The sequence below is a fragment of the Homo sapiens genome, chromosome 8 (genome assembly GCF_000001405.40).
Source record: "Homo sapiens chromosome 8, GRCh38.p14 Primary Assembly".
Classification (NCBI taxonomy): Eukaryota; Metazoa; Chordata; class Mammalia; order Primates; family Hominidae; genus Homo; species Homo sapiens.
Window position 1 is genome coordinate 66575729 of NC_000008.11, and position 19516 is coordinate 66595244.

At 36.5% G+C, this 19516-nt stretch overlaps 1 protein-coding gene across 10 annotated transcripts in view, besides 2 other annotated features; it reads right to left on the reverse strand.

Moving 5' to 3' along the window:
• Positions 1 to 19516, reverse strand: part of MYBL1 (MYB proto-oncogene like 1) — a 51044-nt gene that overhangs the window by 13554 nt on the left and 17974 nt on the right. For 5 of the 10 annotated variants that reach the window (XM_011517535.4, XM_011517533.4, XM_017013455.2 and 2 more), the window contains exons 7-10: positions 17392 to 17466; positions 16712 to 16816; positions 4405 to 4638; positions 279 to 662 (exon numbers count right to left, since the gene is read on the reverse strand). In XM_011517535.4, coding sequence (XP_011515837.1) covers positions 279 to 662; positions 4405 to 4638; positions 16712 to 16816; positions 17392 to 17466 — 798 coding nt within the window. The remainder of the gene's footprint in view (positions 1 to 278; positions 663 to 4404; positions 4639 to 16711; positions 16817 to 17391; positions 17467 to 19516) is intronic. The other 5 variants (NM_001144755.3, NM_001080416.4, XM_017013456.2 and 2 more) reach the window with 2 other exon arrangements.
• Positions 13552 to 13752: a silencer, noted in NCBI's record as "peak7058 fragment used in MPRA reporter construct". NCBI's record gives its function as "represses an SCP1 promoter by STARR-seq MPRAs in K562 erythroleukemia cells {active_cell/tissue: K562}" and the evidence as "EXISTENCE:reporter gene assay evidence [ECO:0000049][PMID:32103011]".
• Positions 16327 to 16485: a silencer, noted in NCBI's record as "fragment chr8:67504290-67504448 (GRCh37/hg19 assembly coordinates)". NCBI's record gives its function as "represses an EF-1alpha promoter that drives an FKBP-Casp9 reporter gene in an ReSE screen in K562 erythroleukemia cells {active_cell/tissue: K562}" and the evidence as "EXISTENCE:reporter gene assay evidence [ECO:0000049][PMID:32094911]".

The following is a 19516-nucleotide window of genomic DNA, read 5'->3' on the forward strand; positions in this document are numbered from 1 at the left end:
GCGGTGAGCCGTGTTTGTGCCACTGCACTCCAACCTCGGCAACAAAGTGAGTCCCTGTCTCCAAAATATAAATAAATAAATAAATAAATAAATATTTGCAGCTACTACATTTTGTGAGATACTTTCTATTCTCTCAGAGTTCAGTATTCTCAAGTATACATTTAAACACATTATTTTTATATGTTATCAAAGCTACCAACTGCTAGTAAGGATGTTAAAGATCTAATTTAATGTAACTCATTGACATTTAGAAACATAAACAAAATGAACACCACTACCTGTGAAGGAGAAAATGGTAGTGTTTTCAGTGGTGTATGTTTTAGCGCCATATTACCACCATCGTTCAATGAGCCATCCCTAAGTTCGCTGCCTGGGGAATGACCCACTCGCATTTTTCTCTTCTTTCTGAGGATGGCTGGTGGAGTGCTAAACTTGGCTATATTTGGGGATGTTAAAGGAACAGCTTCACTGTTGCCACCATTACAAGTGTTTTTTTTCCCTTCAAGTACAAGACTGACGTTAAATTGGCATTCCATGGCTCCTTCATTGTGCTGAATTCTCATTAATTTAACTGGGGTGGATTTGATAGGAGAAGCAGCAGCATCAGAAATATCAAAACTGGTAACGTCACTCCATGCTACAGGATCCTGCAATAAATTAAACTGTTAATAAAGTTAATGCTGTAACCTAGTTAAATCTGCTCTTGAACACAGGATGATGATTTCCACAGAGTTAATTAACAACTCATTTTATCAGTAAAAATGCTTTCCTTGGACATTTTTTTTAAGCAAGACCATTTAAGAGGAACAGATTATGGCTTTCCTATGATTCCAAAATACATAATAGTTCATCTAATTCAGTAGTTGAAGCTTACTGTCAAAGTACTTTAAGAACAAATGATAAGTTATTATCAAAAATTAAGTTATTATCAAAAAGTATATTTCGTCATAAAACTTCACATTCTACTGCACATCAGGAAGACACCATCAAATTCTGCATAATCATTTGGTAATGTGTATGGAACGTGTTAAAAATGGTGATATACTTTGATCCAGAAATTCAATTTAACCTAAAGACATAATCATGATTTTGCACAAAGCTTTATATGTTATCTGTAGTACTGAAAAAGTAGACACTAAGCTTATCCACCATGATCAAGCAGGCTTCATCCCTGGGATGCAAGGCTGGTTCAATATACGCAAATCAATAAATGTAATCCAGCATATAAACAAAACCAAAGACAAAAACCACATGATTATCTCAATAGATGCGGAAAAGGCCTTTGACAAAATTCAACAACCCTTCATGCTAAAAACTCTCAATAAATTAGGTATTGATGGGACGTATCTCAAAATAATAAGAGCTATCTATGACAAACCCACAGCCAATATCATACTGAATGGGCGAAAACTGGAAGCATTCCCTTTGAAAACTGGCACAAGACAGGGATGCCCTCTCTCACCACTCCTATTCAACATAGTGTTGGAAGTTCTGGCCAGGGCAATCAGGCAGGAGAAGGAAATAAAGGGTATTCAATTAGGAAAAGAGGAAGTCAAATTGTCCCTGTTTGCAGATGACATGATTGTATATCTAGAAAACCCCATTGTCTCAGCCCAAAATCTCCTTAAGCTGATAAGCAACTTCAGCAAAGTCTCAGGATACAAAATCAATGTACAAAAATCACAAGCATTCTTATACACCAATAACAGACAAACAGAGAGCCAAATCATGAGTGAACTCCCATTCACAATTGCTTCAAAGAGAATAAAATACTTAGGAATCCAGCTTACAAGGGACGTGAAGGACCTCTTCAAGGAGAACTACAAACTACTGCTCAATGAAATAAAAGAGGATACAAACAAATGGAAGAACATTCCATGCTCATGGGTAGGAAGAATCAATATCGTGAAAATGGCCATACTGCCCAAGGTAATTTATAGATTCAGTGCCATCCCCATCAAGCTACCAATGACTTTCTTCACAGAATTGGAAAAAACTACTTTAAAGTTCATATGGAACCAAAAAAGAGCCCACATCACCAAGTCAATCCTAAGCCAAAAGAACAAAGCTGGAGGCATCATGCTACCTGATTTCAAACTATACTACAAGGCTACAGTAACCAAAACAGCATGGTACTGGTACCAAAACAGAGATATAGATCAATGGAACAGAACAGAGCCCTCAGAAATAATGCCGCGTTATCTACAACTATCTGATCTTTGACAAACATGAGAAAAACAAGCAATGGGGAAAGGATTCCCTATTTAATAAATGGTGCTGGGAAAACTGGCTAGCCATATGCAGAAAGCTGAAACTGGATCCCTTCCTTACACCTTATACAAAAATTAATTCAAGATGGATTAAAGACTTAAACGTTAGACCTAAAACCATAAAAACCCGAGAAGAAAACCTAGGCATTACCATTCAGGACATAGGCATGGACAAGGACTTCATGTCTAAAACACCAAAAGCAATGGCAACAAAAGACAAAATTGACAAATGGGATCTAATTAAACTAAAGAGCTTCTGCACAGCAAAAGAAACTACCATCAGAGTGAACAGGCAACCTACAAAATGGGAGAAAATTTTCGCAACCTACTCATCTGACAAAGGGCTAATATCCAGAATCTACAATGAACTCAAACAAATTTACAAGAAAAAAACAAACAACCCTATCAAAAAGTGGGCAAAGGATATCAACAGACACTTCTCAAAAGAAGACATTTATGCAGCCAAAAGACACTTGAAAAAATGCTCATCATCACTGGCCATCAGAGAAATGCAAATCAAAACCACAATGAGATACCATCTCACACCAGTTAGAATGGCAATCATTAAAAAGTCAGGAAACAACAGGTGCTGGAGAGGATGTGGAGAAATAGGAACACTTTTACACTGTTGGTGGGACTGTAAACTAGTTCAACTATTGCGGAAGTCAGTGTGGCGATTCCTCAGGGATCTAGAATAGAAATACCATTTGACCCAGCCATCCCATTACTGGGTATATACCCAAAGGACTATAAATCATGCTGCTATAAAGACACATGCACACATATGTTTATTGAGGCACTATTCACAATAGCAAAGACTTGGAACCAACCCAAATGTCCAACAATGATAGACTGGATTAAGAAAATGTGGCACATATATACCATGGAATACTATGCAGCCATAAAAAAGGATGAGTTCATGTCCTTTGTAGGGACATGGATGAAATTGGAAATCATCATTCTCAGTAAACTATCGCAAGGACAGAAAACCAAACACTGCATGTTCTCACTCATAAATGGGAATTGAACAATGAGAACATATGGACACAGGAAGGGGAACATCACACTCTGGGGACTGTTGTGGGATGGGGGGAGTGGGGAGGGATAGCATTAGGAGATATACCTAATGCTAAATGACGAGTTAATGGGTGCAGCACACCAGCATGGCACACGTATACATATGTAACTAACCTGCATATTGTGCACATGTACCCTAAAACTTAAAGTATAATAATAATAAAAAAATTAAAAAAAAATTTTTTTTAAAAAAATGAAAAAGTAGACACTACCTAAATGTCCAATAATAATAGTTGGGTAAATATATTTTCTTATATTCATTTGATGGAATACTACAAAGCCCCTAAAATTCAAATTTAGGCCAGGCATGGTGGCTCATGCCTGTAATCCCAGCACTTTGGGAGGCCGAGGTGGGAGGATCACTTGAGGTCAGGAGTTCAAGACCAGCCTGGCCAACATGATGAAACCCCATCTCCACTAAAAATATAAAAATTAGCTGGGTGTGGTGGCAGGCACCTGTAATCCCAGCTACTCAGAAGGCTGAGGCAGGAGAATCGCTTGAACCCAGGAGGCACAGGTTGCAGTGAACTGAGATTGCACCACTACACTCCAGCCTGGGCGACAGAGTGAGATGCCATCTTAAAAAAAAAAAAATCAAGTTTAAAAAAGGAAACAGAAACATGCTCATGACAGGGTGGAAAACAAAAAAAAATCCACAAATATAATACAGAAGTGTATTTTTGGGTTTAAAAATATAATGTTTTCTGAGTATAGAACACAGACTGAAAGGAATACATCAAATTATTAACTCTGGGTTTATGAAGGACTTTAATTTTCTTTTTTATAGTTTTCTCTAGTTTCCAGCTTTCTCTAATGCACTTGTATAACTTATATAATAAAAAATGAATTAAGTTTTTAATTTTTAAAAATTCCTCACAAGGCACATACTTGAGAAAAATTTAAACTTTTTTCCCCTAGAAGCCACTGCAAAATATCAGAACAAAATTAAGCATGGCATACAAAACATAAAACTGGTCAATGTCCAAAACTGAGTTTCTGAGCATGAAATCATATAACTAAAATTGAACTTTTGATAATCTTACAATTTTTTACTTACAGATTCAATAAGTTCTAGAGTCTCTGCAAATTCTGGGATGGTCTGCAAAGAGGATAACACAGCGTTTGCCTCCACGGCCAGGAACTTTGTGGGTGAATTCTGCTGAGCAGACACAGGCTGATTTTCATCCATACTGTAAAACTCACTAGTGTGCTCGTCAAGGCTATTTAGAGTATTAGACATGTTATCATCCATGAGGAAACTACCAGACCAGCTAGAAAAACTTCCAGGCTGCTAAAGGTACAAAAGAAATTTGAATATTATTTGTCATTCTCAATGTAGGCATAAATTCAGATTTCAACACATTTCAATTAGGCTAAAAACATAGTAGCAAATATTTTGTCTTTCCTCAAAATTGGTATACTTTTTTCATTAAACTTCATGCTTTGACTATGTTTCTTTTTTCTAATTAAAATTTTTAATCTATACAATCATGATGAGATAAAACAAGCATTTACATACAACATAAAGTCCAAACTCTTAGAATCTGGCTACTCCCTTCCTTCCAAACTTCATTTCTCAACACTTCTACTCAAGAGCTATATATTTAAACCTTATCATGTGTATCTATTTATTCCTGGTAGTTATCAGAAATACCCAACTATAGCACTTGCAATTCCCCAGTGAATTATATACTCTTTTGACCTGGAGTGCCTTTGCACATATTGCTGCTCCCTCTATCTATTAATAAAATGCTCTGTAACCTACTGACCAGGGAAGCTCTTCTTTTTTTTTTTTTTTTCTGAGATTGGAGTTTTCACTCAGTTGCCCAGGCTGGGGTACAGCGGTGCTCTCTCGGCTCACTGCAACTTCCACCTCCTGGGTTCAAGCAATTCTCCTGCCTCAGCCTCCCGGGTAGCTGGGATTACAGGTACCCATCACCACACCCGGTTAATTTTTTGTATTTTTAGTAGAGACAGGGTTTCACCATGTTGGCCAGGCTGGTCTCAAACTCCTGACCTCAGGTGATCCGCCCACCTCAGCCTCCCAAAGGGAAGCTATTCTTAAGACACAGTTCAAATACTGGAAAGTACTTCATCTGATTATACACTTTTATCTGCTTCATTTATAATAATGTCCTAATTCATTTATCTTGCTAATATATAATCATTGTCCTTCAAGGCTGAGTTCACTTAGGACTTCTAGGAACCCTTCCCTGATGACAACAATCTAAATCAAGCACCTCTCCTGTATGTTACCATAAACTTTGTGACTTACAAATTGTCAAAATTCAAAGACAGAATTCTAAAAATAGCAAGAGAGAACAGGTACGGTGGCTCACGCACATAGTCCCAGCACTTTGGGAAGTCAAGGCAGGCAGATTGCTTGAGCCCAGGAGTTTGAGAACAGTTTGGCCAACATAACGAAACCCCATCTCTACAAAAAATACAAAAATTAGCTGGGCATGGTACCATGCGCCTGTAGTCCCAGAACTCGAGAGGCTGAGGTGAGGGCATCACTTGAACCCAGGAAGTCAAGGCTGCAGCAAACTGTGATCACACCACCACACTCCAGCCTGGCTGACAGAGTGAGACCCTTATCAAAAGAAAATTAAAAATAAAAACTGCAAAGTAAAAGTATTACATCCCATATATGGAAATCTTTATTAGATAACAGCAGATTTATTTGAAAAAATCTTACAGGCCAGAAGAGAATGAAATGATATATTTGAGAAGCACTGAAAAAAGAAAAATGCCTGCCAAGAATACCCAGCAAAGCTATCCTTCAGAAATGAGGGAGAAATAAAGTCTTTCCCAGACTTTTTCTTTTTAAATGGTGGGAATTCATCACCACTAGATCAGCCTTACAAGAAGTGCTCAAAAAAGTCCTATACCTGAAAGCAAAAAGATAACAGACACTATTATGAAAATATGTAAAAGTATAAAATTCACTAGTAGAGCAGGTACACAAAGGAGAAAGATAAAATAATCAAACCACTGTACTACAGAAAACCACCAAACTGCAATAATAAACATTAAGAGAGGAAGAAAGGAACAAAGAATACACAAAAACAGAAAATAATTAACAAAATGAAAAGAGTAAGTCTTCACATATCAGTAATAACCCTGAATGTAAACAGATTAAGCTCTACACTTAAAAGACATAGACTAGCTGAATGGATTAAAAACACATGACCCAACTATATGCTGCCTACAAAAACTCATGTCACCTGTAAAGACACATACGGACTGAATGTAAAAGGATGGAAAAAGATATTCTATGCAAACAGAAACTAAAAGCAAGCAGGAATAGCTATACTCATATCAGATAAAGCATAATTTAAACTAAAAACTATAAAAAGAAGCTGGGCATGGTAGCACATGCCTGCAACCACAGCACTTTGGGAGGCCAAGGTGGGCTCAGGAGTTTGAAACCAGCCTCGGCAACATGGCAAAACTCCATCTCTACAAAAAAAAAAAAAAAAAAAAAAAAAAATTAGCTGGACATGGCAGCACATGCCTGTGGTCCCCGCTACTTGGGAGGCTGAGGTGAAAGCATCACCTTAGCCTGGAAGGTCGAGGTTACAGAGAGCCAAGATCACAGCACTGTATTTCAGCCTGGGGGGACGGAGTGAAACCCTGCCTCAAAAAAAAAAAAAAAACCCTATAAAAAAAGACAAAAAAGGTCAATATATAATGATAAAGGGATCAATTCAGCAAAAGAATATAATTGTAAATATATATGCACCAATATCAGAGCACCCAGCTACATCAAGCAAATACTATTTGATCTAAAAGGAGTAATAGATTCCAATAAAAAATAGTTGGAGACTTCAACACCCCATTCTCAGCAATGAAAGATCATCTAGACAGAAAAATCAACAAAGAAACAAACATTGGCTTTAAATTGCACATTTATACTGAATGAGCCTAACAGACATCTACAGAATATTTCATCCAATATCTGCAGAATATACATTCTTTTCATCAGCACATTCTTCATGACAGACCACGTATTAGGCCACAAAATAAGTCTGAACAAATTTAACAGAATTAAAGACATATCAAATACCTTTTTGGACCACAATGAAATAAAACTAGAAATCAATAACAAAAGGAACTTTTGAAATCGTAAACGGAAATTAAACAACATGCTCCTGAACAACCAATAGGTCAATGAAGAAATTAAGAAGGAAACCAAAACATTTCTGGAAACAAATGAAAAGTAGAAACAAACATACCAACACCTATGGGATACAGCAAAAGCAGTATCAAAAGGGAAGTTTATAGAAATAAATACCTACACCAAAAAAGTAGAAACATTTCAAATAAACAATGTAGCTAGAAAAATAAGAACAAACCAAACCCAAAGCTAGCAGAGGAAAATAAATAATAAAAATCAAAGCAGAAATAAACAAAACTGAGACAAACAAATACAAATAATCAATGAAATGAGAAGTTGACTTTTTAAAGAAATAAACGAAATTGACAAACTGCTGGCCAGACTAACCAAGAAAAAAAAAAGACCCAAATAAATAAAATCAGAAACAAAAAAGGAGACATTACAACTAATACCACAGGAATACAAAGGATCATTAGAGGTTATCATGAATAACTGTGTATCCAATTAGAAAACTTACCAGAAATGGATAAACTTCTGGATAGATATAACCTATCAAGATTGAACCAAGAAGAAACAGAAAACCTGAACAGACCAATTACAAGTAGCAAGACTGAATGTGCAATAAAACGTCTCCTATAAAATTAAAGCCCAGGACCCAATGGCTTCATTGCAGAATTCTACCAAACATATAAAGAAGAACTATCAATTCTTTTCCAATTCTCTCAGAAAACTGAAGAGTAAGGAATTTTTCCAAACTCATTCTACAAGGTCAACATTACCCTGATACCAAAACCAAATAAAGAAAACTGTAAGCCAATATCCCTGATGAACATAGATGCAAAAAGACATTCACCAAGATCAAATGGAATTTATCCCAGGGATGTAAGGATGATTCAACATACATAAATCAATAAATAAAATCAAATATCAATAGAATAAAGATTATCTCAATAGACATGAAAAATCATTTGATAAAATCAACATCCCTTCACGATAAAAACTCTCAACAAGTTAACTATAGAAAAAACACACAATAAAGGCCATATATGACAAAACCACAGCCAACATCATACTGAACAAGGAAAAGTTGAAAGCTTTTTCTCTAAGATCTCAAATGAGACAAGGATGTCCATTTTCACCACTTCTATTCAACACAGTACTGGAAGTCCTAGCCAAAACAATTAGGCAAGAGAAAAAGAAAAGGCATCCAAAATGGAAAAAAGGAAGTCAAACTGTCCCCATTTGCAGACAACATGAACTTATATATAGAAAACCCTATAACCCTATATAAAGCTCCTCTAAAAAAACTCTTAGAACTGACAAACAAATGGGGTAATGTTGCAGGACAAAACATCAACACACAAAAAATCAGTCGTGTTTTGGCTGGGCATGGTGGCTCACGCCTGTAATATCAGCACTTTGGGAGGACAAAGCAGGAGGATCACTTGAGGTCAGGAGTTCAAGACCAGCCTGGGCAAGATAGCGAGACCCCCATCTCTAAAATTAAAAAATAAAATAAAATAAATCAGTAGTGTTTCTATACACCAACAACAAACTAGCACAAAAAGAAATCAAGAAAGCAATGCCATTTACAATAGCTACAAAAAAATAAAATACGTAGGATAAATTAAACCAAGAAGGTAAAAGATTTCTACAAGAAAAACTACAAAACACTGATAAAAAAAATTGAAGAGGACATGAAAAAATACAAAGATCTCCCATGTTCAAGAATTAGAAGAATTAATATTGTGAAAATGACCATATTACCAAAAGTAATCTACGGTTCAGTGCAATCTTTATCAAAATACCAACGACATTCTCCCCAAAAGTAGCAAAAACAATGCTAAAATTCATTTAAAAAACTACAAATAGCTAAAGTAATCCTGAGCAAAAAAACAAACAAACAAACAAACAAAAACAAAGCTGGAGGCATCACACTAACACGCTTCCAAATATTCTATATAGAGCTGTAGTAACCAAAACAGCATGGTACTGGAACAGAATACATAACCCAGAAATAAATCCACGCATTTACAGACTCTCAACAAAGGCACCAAGAACACTGATGGAAGAAGAGAGAGTCTCTTCAATAAATAATGCTGGGAAAACTGGATATCCATATGCAGAAAAATGAAACTAGCTCCCTATCTCTCACCATATTAAAAAAACCTCCTTTTTTGTGAAAGAAGAAAATCAATTCAAAATGGATGAAAGACTTAAATTTAACACCCAAAATATAAAACTACTAGAAGAAAACATAAAGGCTGGGCACAGTGGCCTCATGCCTGTAATCCCAGCACTTTGGGAGGCCGAGGCAGGCAGATCACTTGAGGTCAGGAGTTCGAGACCAGCCTGGCCAACATGGTGAAACCTCGTCTCTCCTAAAAATACCAAAAAATTAGCTGGGCGTGGTGGCAGGCACCTGTAATCCCAGCTACTCAGGAGGCTGAGGCAGGAGAACCTCCAAAAGGCGGAGGTTGCAGTGAACCGAGATCGCGCCACTGCCACTGCACTCCAGCCTGGGTGACAAGAATGAAGCTTTGTCTCAAAAAAAGAAAGAAAACATAGGAGAAATGTTTTAGGACATTGTTTGGGCAAAAATTTTATGGGGAAGACCTCAAAAACACAGGCAGTAAAAGCAAAAATAGACAAATGGGATTATATTAAACTAAAAAGCTTCTGCACAGCAAAGGAGGCAATCAACAGAATGAAGAGAGAAATGATGTACAGGATGGGAGAAAATATTTGCAAACTATTAACCAACAAAGGATTAATATCTAGACTAGACAAAAAAATCAACAACAAAAAATACTAATAATAATCTGGTTTGGGTTTTGTTTTTTGGTGTTTTTTTTTTTTTTTTTTTTTGAGATAAGGTCCGGCTCTGTTGCCCAGGCTACACTGCAATGGTGCCATCCCAGCTCACTGCACCCTCCACCTCCCAGGCTCGAGCCATCCTCCCACCTCAGCATTCTGAGTAGCTGGGACTACAGGTGCTCACCACCACGCCTGGCTAAGTTTTGTATTTTTTGTAAAGATGGGGTTTCACCATGTTGCCCAGGCTGGTCTCGAACTCATGAGCTCAAGCAATCTACCCACCTTAGCCTCTCAAAGTGTTGGAATTACAAGCATGAGACAAGGCACCCAGCCAATAATCTGACTTAAAATAGGCAAATGAGCTGAACCAATATTTCTCAAAAGAAAACATACAAATGGACAATGGGTATATTAAAAAATGCTCAATATCACTAGTCATCAGGGAAATGCAAATCAAAACCACGATGAGATATCATCTCACCCTTGTCAGAATGACTATTATCAAAAAGACAAAAAATAACAGATGCTGGCAAAGATGTGGAGAAAGGGGAACTCTACTGTTGGAAGGAATGTAAATTAGTACAGCCATTATCAAAAACACTATGGAGGCTCTTCAAAAAACTAAAAATAGACTATGATATGATGCAGTAATCCCACTACTGGGTATGTATCCAAAGGAAAGAAAATCATATATGTACTTCCATGTTTATTATAGCACTATTCACAGATATGGAATCAACCTAATTGCCTATCAACAGATGAATAAAGCAAGAAAATGTGCTGTGTCTGTATATTTATACACACACACATACATAGACACATAACCACATAATACTATTTAGCCATAAAAATAACATGAAATTCTATCATTTGTGGCAACACAAATGAAGTTGGAGGACATTATGTTAAATGAAATAAGCCAGGCAGAGAAAGATAAACACTGTAGGTTCTCACTTACATGTGGAAGCTAAAAAAGTAGATCTCATAGAAGTATAGAGAAGAATAGTGGCTACTAGAGGAGAAGAAGGGGAGCCAAGGAAGGGAAGCGGAGAAGGGAGAGTAGCCAAAGGTTGGTTAATGGATATATAAGTACAACTAGAGAGGAGGAGTAAGTTCCAGTGTTCTATAGCACTATAGGGTAACTATAATTAACAGCAACTTGTTGTATATTTTCAAATAACTATAAAAGCAGGATTTAAATGTTCCCAACACAAAGAAATGATAAATGTTTGAGGTGATGGATATGCTAATTACCAAGACTTGACCAAGACACATTGCATACATGTATCAAAATAGTACACTGTACACCCAGAAAATATGTACAATTATTGTGTCAATTAAAAATAATAATAAAAGCAAAAAAAAAACCCTTGTGCCTTATTTTATCATATACTATCCTGTTTCTTGTGTAGGTTCCCACTGCAGAGTAAAACCTGAAGTCAGAGACTATGTCATTTTTCTTTATCTCTTTAGAAATGTACACTAGGCAATTTACTTATCTTGCAAGCCTAGTTTTCTAGTGTTTTATAATTAAAAAATAAGAAAAGAGGCCTTGAAGAGTTATGAATGAGAAACAACATGTAAAGTGTGTAGCATTTTTCATGGGGCCCAGTTATCGCCCTCTTTGTGTGTTGGATCTTTTTCTCACCCGCATACCAACTGAAAGGTATGTGGTTTGGAGGGAACTCCAAACTTTCTGAGATGATGAAAATGTTCTATATTTCCAGCTGCTCAATATGGGAGCCACTAGCCATATAAGCAACTGATATGTGGCTAGTGCAACTAATGAACTGAATTTTAAGTTTTGTTTAAAATTAAATGTGGCTAGTAACTGCCATATGGTAGACAGCACACTGGAAGTCTATAGGAAGCACTGAATAATGGTAACTATTACTACTAAAAGTAAAAATTTTCAGAATGTTCTAGGGATTCACTATAAAATGTTACATTTCAACCTAAATAAGGTAATAAAACACTGTTGCAAAGCAAATTCGATGTGTTTTATAAATAAAAGAAATTAAAGTAATCTTATTTCATTTCATTATTTTCCATTTCATTAGCATAGCCACCTTCTGACTTGACAATCACTTTCAGGAGACAGCATGGTTTTCCTCTCATGCTGGAGGGAACACGTGGTTCCCTCCAAACCACATACCTTTCAGTTGGTATGCAGGTGAGAAAAAGATCCAACACACAAATAGGGCGATAACTGGGCCCAGTGAAAAAACCATAGGTTACAATCAGACAGACCTAAATGTGAATCTCTTTTTTTTTTTTTTTTTTTTGAGACAGGGTCTCACTCTGTCGTCCAGGCTGGAATGCACTAGCCCGATCTCAGCTCACTGCAAACTCCACCTCCCAGGCTCAAGTGATCCTCCCACCTCACCTTCCCAAGTAGCTGGGACTACAGGAGCGCACCATCACACCTGATTAGTTTTTGTATTTTTTGCAGAGACAGGGTTTCGCCATGTTGCCCAGGCTGGTCTCGAACTCCTGGCCTCAAGTAATCTGCCTGCCTCAGCCTCCCAAAGTGTTGGGATTACAGGCGTTGAGTCACTACATTCGGCCCTAAATGTGAACTCTCTAATGAAATTCTACCCACTTAACAGAGTTAACATCAGGATTACCAAGCATACATATAAAACATTCACAAGAGTAGAGCTCAATGGATACTCAGTAAAATGGCAGTCAATATTGTCACATAACTGTTTAGGAAAAAAAACTTTAGGGAGGGCACGGTGGCTCATGCCTGTAATCCCAACACTTTGGGAGGCCAAGGCAGGTGGATCACGAGGTCAGGAAATCAAGACCATCCTGGCCAACATGATGAAACCCCGTTTCTACTAATAACACAAAAATTAGCTGGGTATGGTGGCACATGCCTGTAATCTCAGCTACTCAGGAGGCTGAAGCAGGAGAATCGCTTGAACCAGGGAGTTGGAGGTTGCAGTGAGCCGAGATCACGCTACTGCACTCCAGCCGGGCGACAGTGTAAGACTCCAACACAAAAAGAAATTAAAAAAATGCTTCATATGGGTATGGAGTCTATTCTACTGGCTGCAGCAACTTCCCTCTAGATTTCAGAATATACACTTATTCAACCAAATCTTTATGAGAACAGATTTTAGATAGTGAGTTCTAAAAAGAAAATAACTTTCTTCCTTTTTAATGCAAAATATTCATTCCTTTAGTTATATTTTTCCTGTTAAATTAAAAAAGGGTAAGATTCTATTAAAAATCCAAAATGGTTTAAACATGATATAATCATCTACAAATGCTGATTCTCTAACCATAATTCTTTGTGGCTTTTTTTTTTTTGAGACAGGTTCTTGCTCTGTCACCCAGGCTGAAGTGCAGTGATATGATCATAGCTCACCGCAGCCTCAAACCCCTGAGCTTAAACAATCCTCTCCCTCCTCAGCCTTTTGAGTAGCTGGGACTACAGGCACGTGCCACCATGCCTGGCTAATTTATTTATTTATTTTTAAGATGGGGTCTTGCTCTGTTGCCCAGGTTGGAGTGCAGGGGTGTGATAACTGCTGACTGCAGCCTCGACCTCCCAGGCTCAAGTGATCCTTCTGCCTCAGCCTCCTGAGTAGCTGGAGCCACAGGCATGTGCCACCATGCCTATCTATTTCTTTTTAAATTTTTTGTAGAGATGGGGTCTCACTATGTTGCCAAGGCTGGTCTCAAACTCCTGGGCTTAAGTGACCCTCCCACCTCAGCCTCTCAAAGTCCTGAGATTACAGGCATGAGCCACCAAGCCCAGTCTATTTGTAGCTTCTTAACAAAACAAATTAACTTTAAGGTAAGTATATGTCAGGTCTTCCTAGTTGCTCATGGTTTTTGCAGTTTCAAAACAGAAACTGCAACATAGGGAAATCTCGTCTCTACAAAAAGTATTTTTTTTTATTAGCCAAGTGTGGTGGCACACACCTGTGGTCTTAGCTACCCAGGAAGCTGAGGTGGGAGGACTGCTTAAACCTAAGAGGCTGAGGCTGCAGTGAGCCATGATCGTACCACTGCACTCCAGCCTAGGCAACAGACCAAGACCCTGACTCAAAAAATCCCAAAAAAACAAAAAACAGAAATTGCTTTTCTTATGGTATATATCTTGCCTATTATAATCAATAAATATCATTTTTATTAATATCCTCTTAAGTAGTATAAAGACATCACCAGTTGCCTCATAATACTATTTCAAGATCTCAGGTTATCTTCTTAGTAATTTTGCCTGAGTTCCCAGTCACTCTCAATATTCTGTCCTCTCATTCAGTCCCAAACAAAAAATAAACAAACAAACCCTTTTCTAAATGTAAAAAGGGGCAAGGAATGGTGGCTCATGTCTGTAATCCCAGTACTTTGGGAGGCCAAGGTGGGCAAATCACTTGAGGTTAGGTGTTCAAGACTACCCTGGGGAATATGGTGAAATGCCATCTCTACTAAAACAATTTTAAAAATTAGCCGGGCATGTTGGTACATGCCTGTAATCCCAGCTACTCAGGAGGCTGAGGCAGGAGAATCACTTGAACCCAGGAGCCTTCTGGGTAGTTAGGACCACAGGTGTGCACCACCACACTTAGCTAATCAAAAAAAAAAAAAAAACTTTTTGTAGGGCCAAGATTGCACCACTGCACTCCCGCTTGAGTGAGAGAGTGAGACTCTGTCTCAAAAAAAAATAATACTAATACTAATAAAAATAATAAGGCTCAAGGCATTATTTTAAATTTTTAAAAATGTTATTTAAAGGAAGGGTAGGATGAAGGGAGGGACAGGGAAATATATGTTAAAGAATACAAAATCACAGCTAGATAGAAGGAACAAGTTCTAGTGTTCTATATCACTGTAGGATGACTACAGTTAACAATATTAAATAGTTTCAAATAGTTAGAAGCAGGGATATTCAATGTTCCCAAGACAGAGAAATTATAACTAATTTGAGATGATAGATATGCTAATTACCATGATCTGGTCAGTATACATTACATGTACAGAAACATCACTGTGTACCCCACGAATATGTACAATTATTTCCCAATTTAAAAATTTTAATTTGGTTAGGTGCGGTGGCTCACGCCCTAATCCCAGCACTTTGGGAGGCTGAGGCAGGAGGATCACGAGGTCAGGAGATCGAGATCATCCTGGCTAACACGGTGAAACCTAGTCTCTACTAAAAATATAAAAAATTAGCTGGGAGTGGTGGCAGGCGCCTGCAGTCCCAGCTACTCAGAGGCTGAGGCAGGAGAATGACGTGAACCCAGGAGGCGGAGCTTGCAGTGAGCCAAGATCACGCCACTGCACTCCAGCCTGGGCAACAGAGCAAAACTCTGTCTCAAAAAAAAAAAAATTTTTTTTTAATTTAAAAACCTAAGAAAAGTTATTTAAATATAAACTTGTATCTTTCTTTTAACCAATCTAGCATAACCTGCTTAATTCTACTAGAATGATTACCTTTGATCCTAACTTAACACTCCTAGTTAGTCTCATCAGCCAAATCTTACACAATAGTTTTCACATGTGGTAACCAACACCCAACATCTATATAAAATTTCTTCTTTTAGAAGAATTGTTTAGAGAGCATAAAATCTAAATGTTCCTTTTTCCATATATTTTTAGTGTTATTACTTTTTTAAATTTACTGAACTCATATTCTAAATCTAGTAAATAGGAAAAAATTTTCAAAGAGAATAAAAATAATTTTGGAGCTCATAAATCCCTCTACATCTATTCAATTCTTTATTTTAAAAAGAATTAAACCCATCATTACATGGAATGTCTAAAATAAAGCCAAAGCCTAATCTAAACACACATAATTTTCACAAATATATATGTGTGTATATTTATATATATATACACACATATATAAGATTTTACTTTACATCTGCTTTGCATTTATGACTCAAGAAGTATCCTAATACAGAACATTGTAAATTATGCTCAAAGAAATGCATATCAAAATCAGGCAACCTTGGGCCAGGCACAGAGGCTCACACCTATAATCCCAGCACTTTGGGAGGCCAAGGCAGGAGAATCACTTGAGCCCAGGAGTTTGAGACCAGCCTGAGCAACACGGTGAAACCCCATCTCTACAAAAATAAAAAAAAATTGTCAGGCATGGTGGCAGGCACCTGTAGTCCCAGCTACTTGAGAGGCTGAGGTGGGGCATCATTTGAGCCCAGGAGGTCAAGGCTTCAGTGAGCAGTGATTACACCACTGCATTTCTGCCTGGGTGACAGAGCAAGACCCTGTCTCAAAAAGAAAAAGAAAAAAACAGGCAACCTCAAAGTTGCAAATTAAAAAAAAACAAAACTATTTTTACTCCATATTAAAATCTGCAGTCATACTGAGTATGCTTTCTAGCTGATAAAAATGACAAAAAGCATATATGAAAGATTCTAACAATACAAATAACAAGCTTATTTCTTACTGATGGAATTCGCTTTCTTCTAACTTCATTCTCAGCTGACATAAGAAGCATCTCAAGTTCCTTTATTTTCTTTTCCTTATCAGGATCTTCATCAATGAAGGGTTGCTAAAATAAGTTAAATAAAAGAGAAAACAGGATGCTTATATAATTGCTTTATTATTAGTATTCTCATTTTTATTTTCTTCTATGCAACATGAAATATACTTTTTCTAATAAAGCTTAATGCTACTAAATACTAACTACTCATTATCACAATCCCTCTGGTATCTAAAGAGGTGCTGGCAAATATTTTCAACTTAAAAGATTTGGGAAAATTTTAATGACTTAAAAAATGTTGCATCATCTCTATCAGCTGAAATGTATGTCTGAAATATTTTATATTTTTAAATCTTAATAAATATATTCTATACAATTTAGCAAAAATATGTCCATTCCCAACTTGAATGCTTTACCTTGAAAGAATGAAATGACTACCATACTGGTATCATCAATCACATTTGTACAGTTTATATTTCTTCAAACTCACTTACACACTTTCTTCTTTATAGTTAGAGTACTCCAAGTAGGACAGATCGTATTATTTTTATACTAGTTTAATAGATGAGGAAATAGATACTATTAGGCTTTTAAAAATGTGACTGAACACATTTCCTTTGGTTTTCGTTATAAATAAAAGTTACCTGAATAAAGGCAGAAGTAGGCTGAACATGTTCTATACAATTGCCTTCAGGTGACACATACTGATACCCAGGGATCTAAAAAGTAATTAATGCATTATTATCATACATATAATGCTATAAATGTTGAAAATCTGAAGCAAATGACAAAAACTTTTGACACAGTATCAATATAAAAAACTTAGAAAGTACCTGTATTAATTTTGAAATGTTATACCTATAATACTTTCTTATCTATTAAATAACTACAGCTCCACTCCTAGAATCTATGATTAAAAGTCGTAACACTTAGAAAAGACTTTTTTTCAGATGAAATATGAGAATTACTTAGCCTAGATTTATCAGCCAGTTTATTAAATCTGACATTCACCAAATATATTTAAACATCTACTATTAGAAGGGTTGCTCTATCTCCTAAAGAAAACAAAGTAATTGTGTTCCTATGTGTCCATATGAATGAAGCACTCACAAGGACAGAGACCTGAAGCAAGTTTTTCAATGTTCATATCTCCTACTTTTATCACCACCCCATGCCAAAGTCTTCTTCTATTACTTGTCTTAGAAAAACAATCAGAATCACTCACATACTTTTAATAGATATACTGATGATAGGCTAAGTATCATTCTGCTTCTTTTCTAAAACATCTGTAATAAGAATTTTCAAGATACATATAAATTTAGTAAGCAGTAGTGGAAAGAAATATGAGAGGAGGTGTTTTTAAAAGCCTTAAAATCGGGGCCGGGTACAGTGGCCCACCCCTGTAATTCCAGCACTTTGGGAGGCTGAGGGGGTATGGTCGCTTGAGCCCAGGAGTCCAAGACCAGCCTGGGCAACATGGCAAGACCCTGTTTTTACAAAAAATAAAAAAATTAGCCAGGTGTAGTGGAGCACGCCTGTAGTCCCAGCTACTCAGGAGGCCGAAGCAGGAGGATCACATGAGCCCAGAAGGTTGAGGCTGCAGCGAGCTGTGTGCGCACCACTGCATTCCAGCCTGGTAACAGAAAGAGATTCTGTCTCAAAAAGAAAAAAAAAAAGCCTTAAAATCAAAAACCATAAATATGAAATTGTCTGCTTTCCGTAATGGTCTACCTAAATCACTATATAATGCAGAATCATTATGTATAACTTCTAACATAGAGCTTAACTTTTAGAATACTCGATTAGTACCACTTATTGCTCAACTTGGTAACTCTAATGAATTAGAAACGTATCTTTCCCAAACTTTTCATGAAAATCTGTGACAGTATTTTAAACCCATCTATTCTTTTATCAAGTCACACATATAATAAAATTATTTTATTAGTTTAAATTAATTGAATAATGAATATATCTAAATTAAAAGGGAAACAATTCTTACAGTATAAGAAATATCCTCATCTTTCCAACATATTTAGATTAAGACTGTTAAATACTCTGTTGGCCCCATGTATTATCTTTCTACGAGTTAAAAAAATAAATTTAAATGATAAACTTTCTAAGACAGAAGCAGAATGTTTCAGTTTATGCTGCTGAAATCTAGACTCTAAAGAAAAATGTGAAGAAACATAATAAAAACCTTAAGGTATTGAGTATCAGCAGATAATTATACTGTCTTCACATGTTTTCCTATTGTTAATGAAAATGTCATTACTCTAAGTGGTTCTTTTAAAATGATGCTTAAAAAACTTAACAATGTCCACAAAATGTCAAAAATCAAATCTGAGGCATAGTAAGCACAGATTTTTAATATCTTGCCCAATTTTATCTTTTGGTAGAAAACTACTAAGTCCTGACTTAATCTTTACAATTTATGTGACAAGAACCAAGAATTGCTCATTGTGAAAAATGGCATAACAGGTAGACAGGGAAATGTAAAACAAATCTCATGAAGACTCCTACACTAATTTCTTCCAAGTAGAAAAATGCACTGTAAGGGACAACATAGAGCTTGCCCCATTTTGAGCTCGTGTAATACCTACTTTAATGAATCATCTAAACAAAGACTAAAATTACCCAAGTGATTAGTTATTAGGGGGAAAAGCAAAGTTGAATGCCAGCAAAATCCAATTAATTACCACACCCCCAAAACAATTACTTATTTTTGCTACTTTCTCTTTTAAGCCATTTTATATATACCTACCTCTTAGA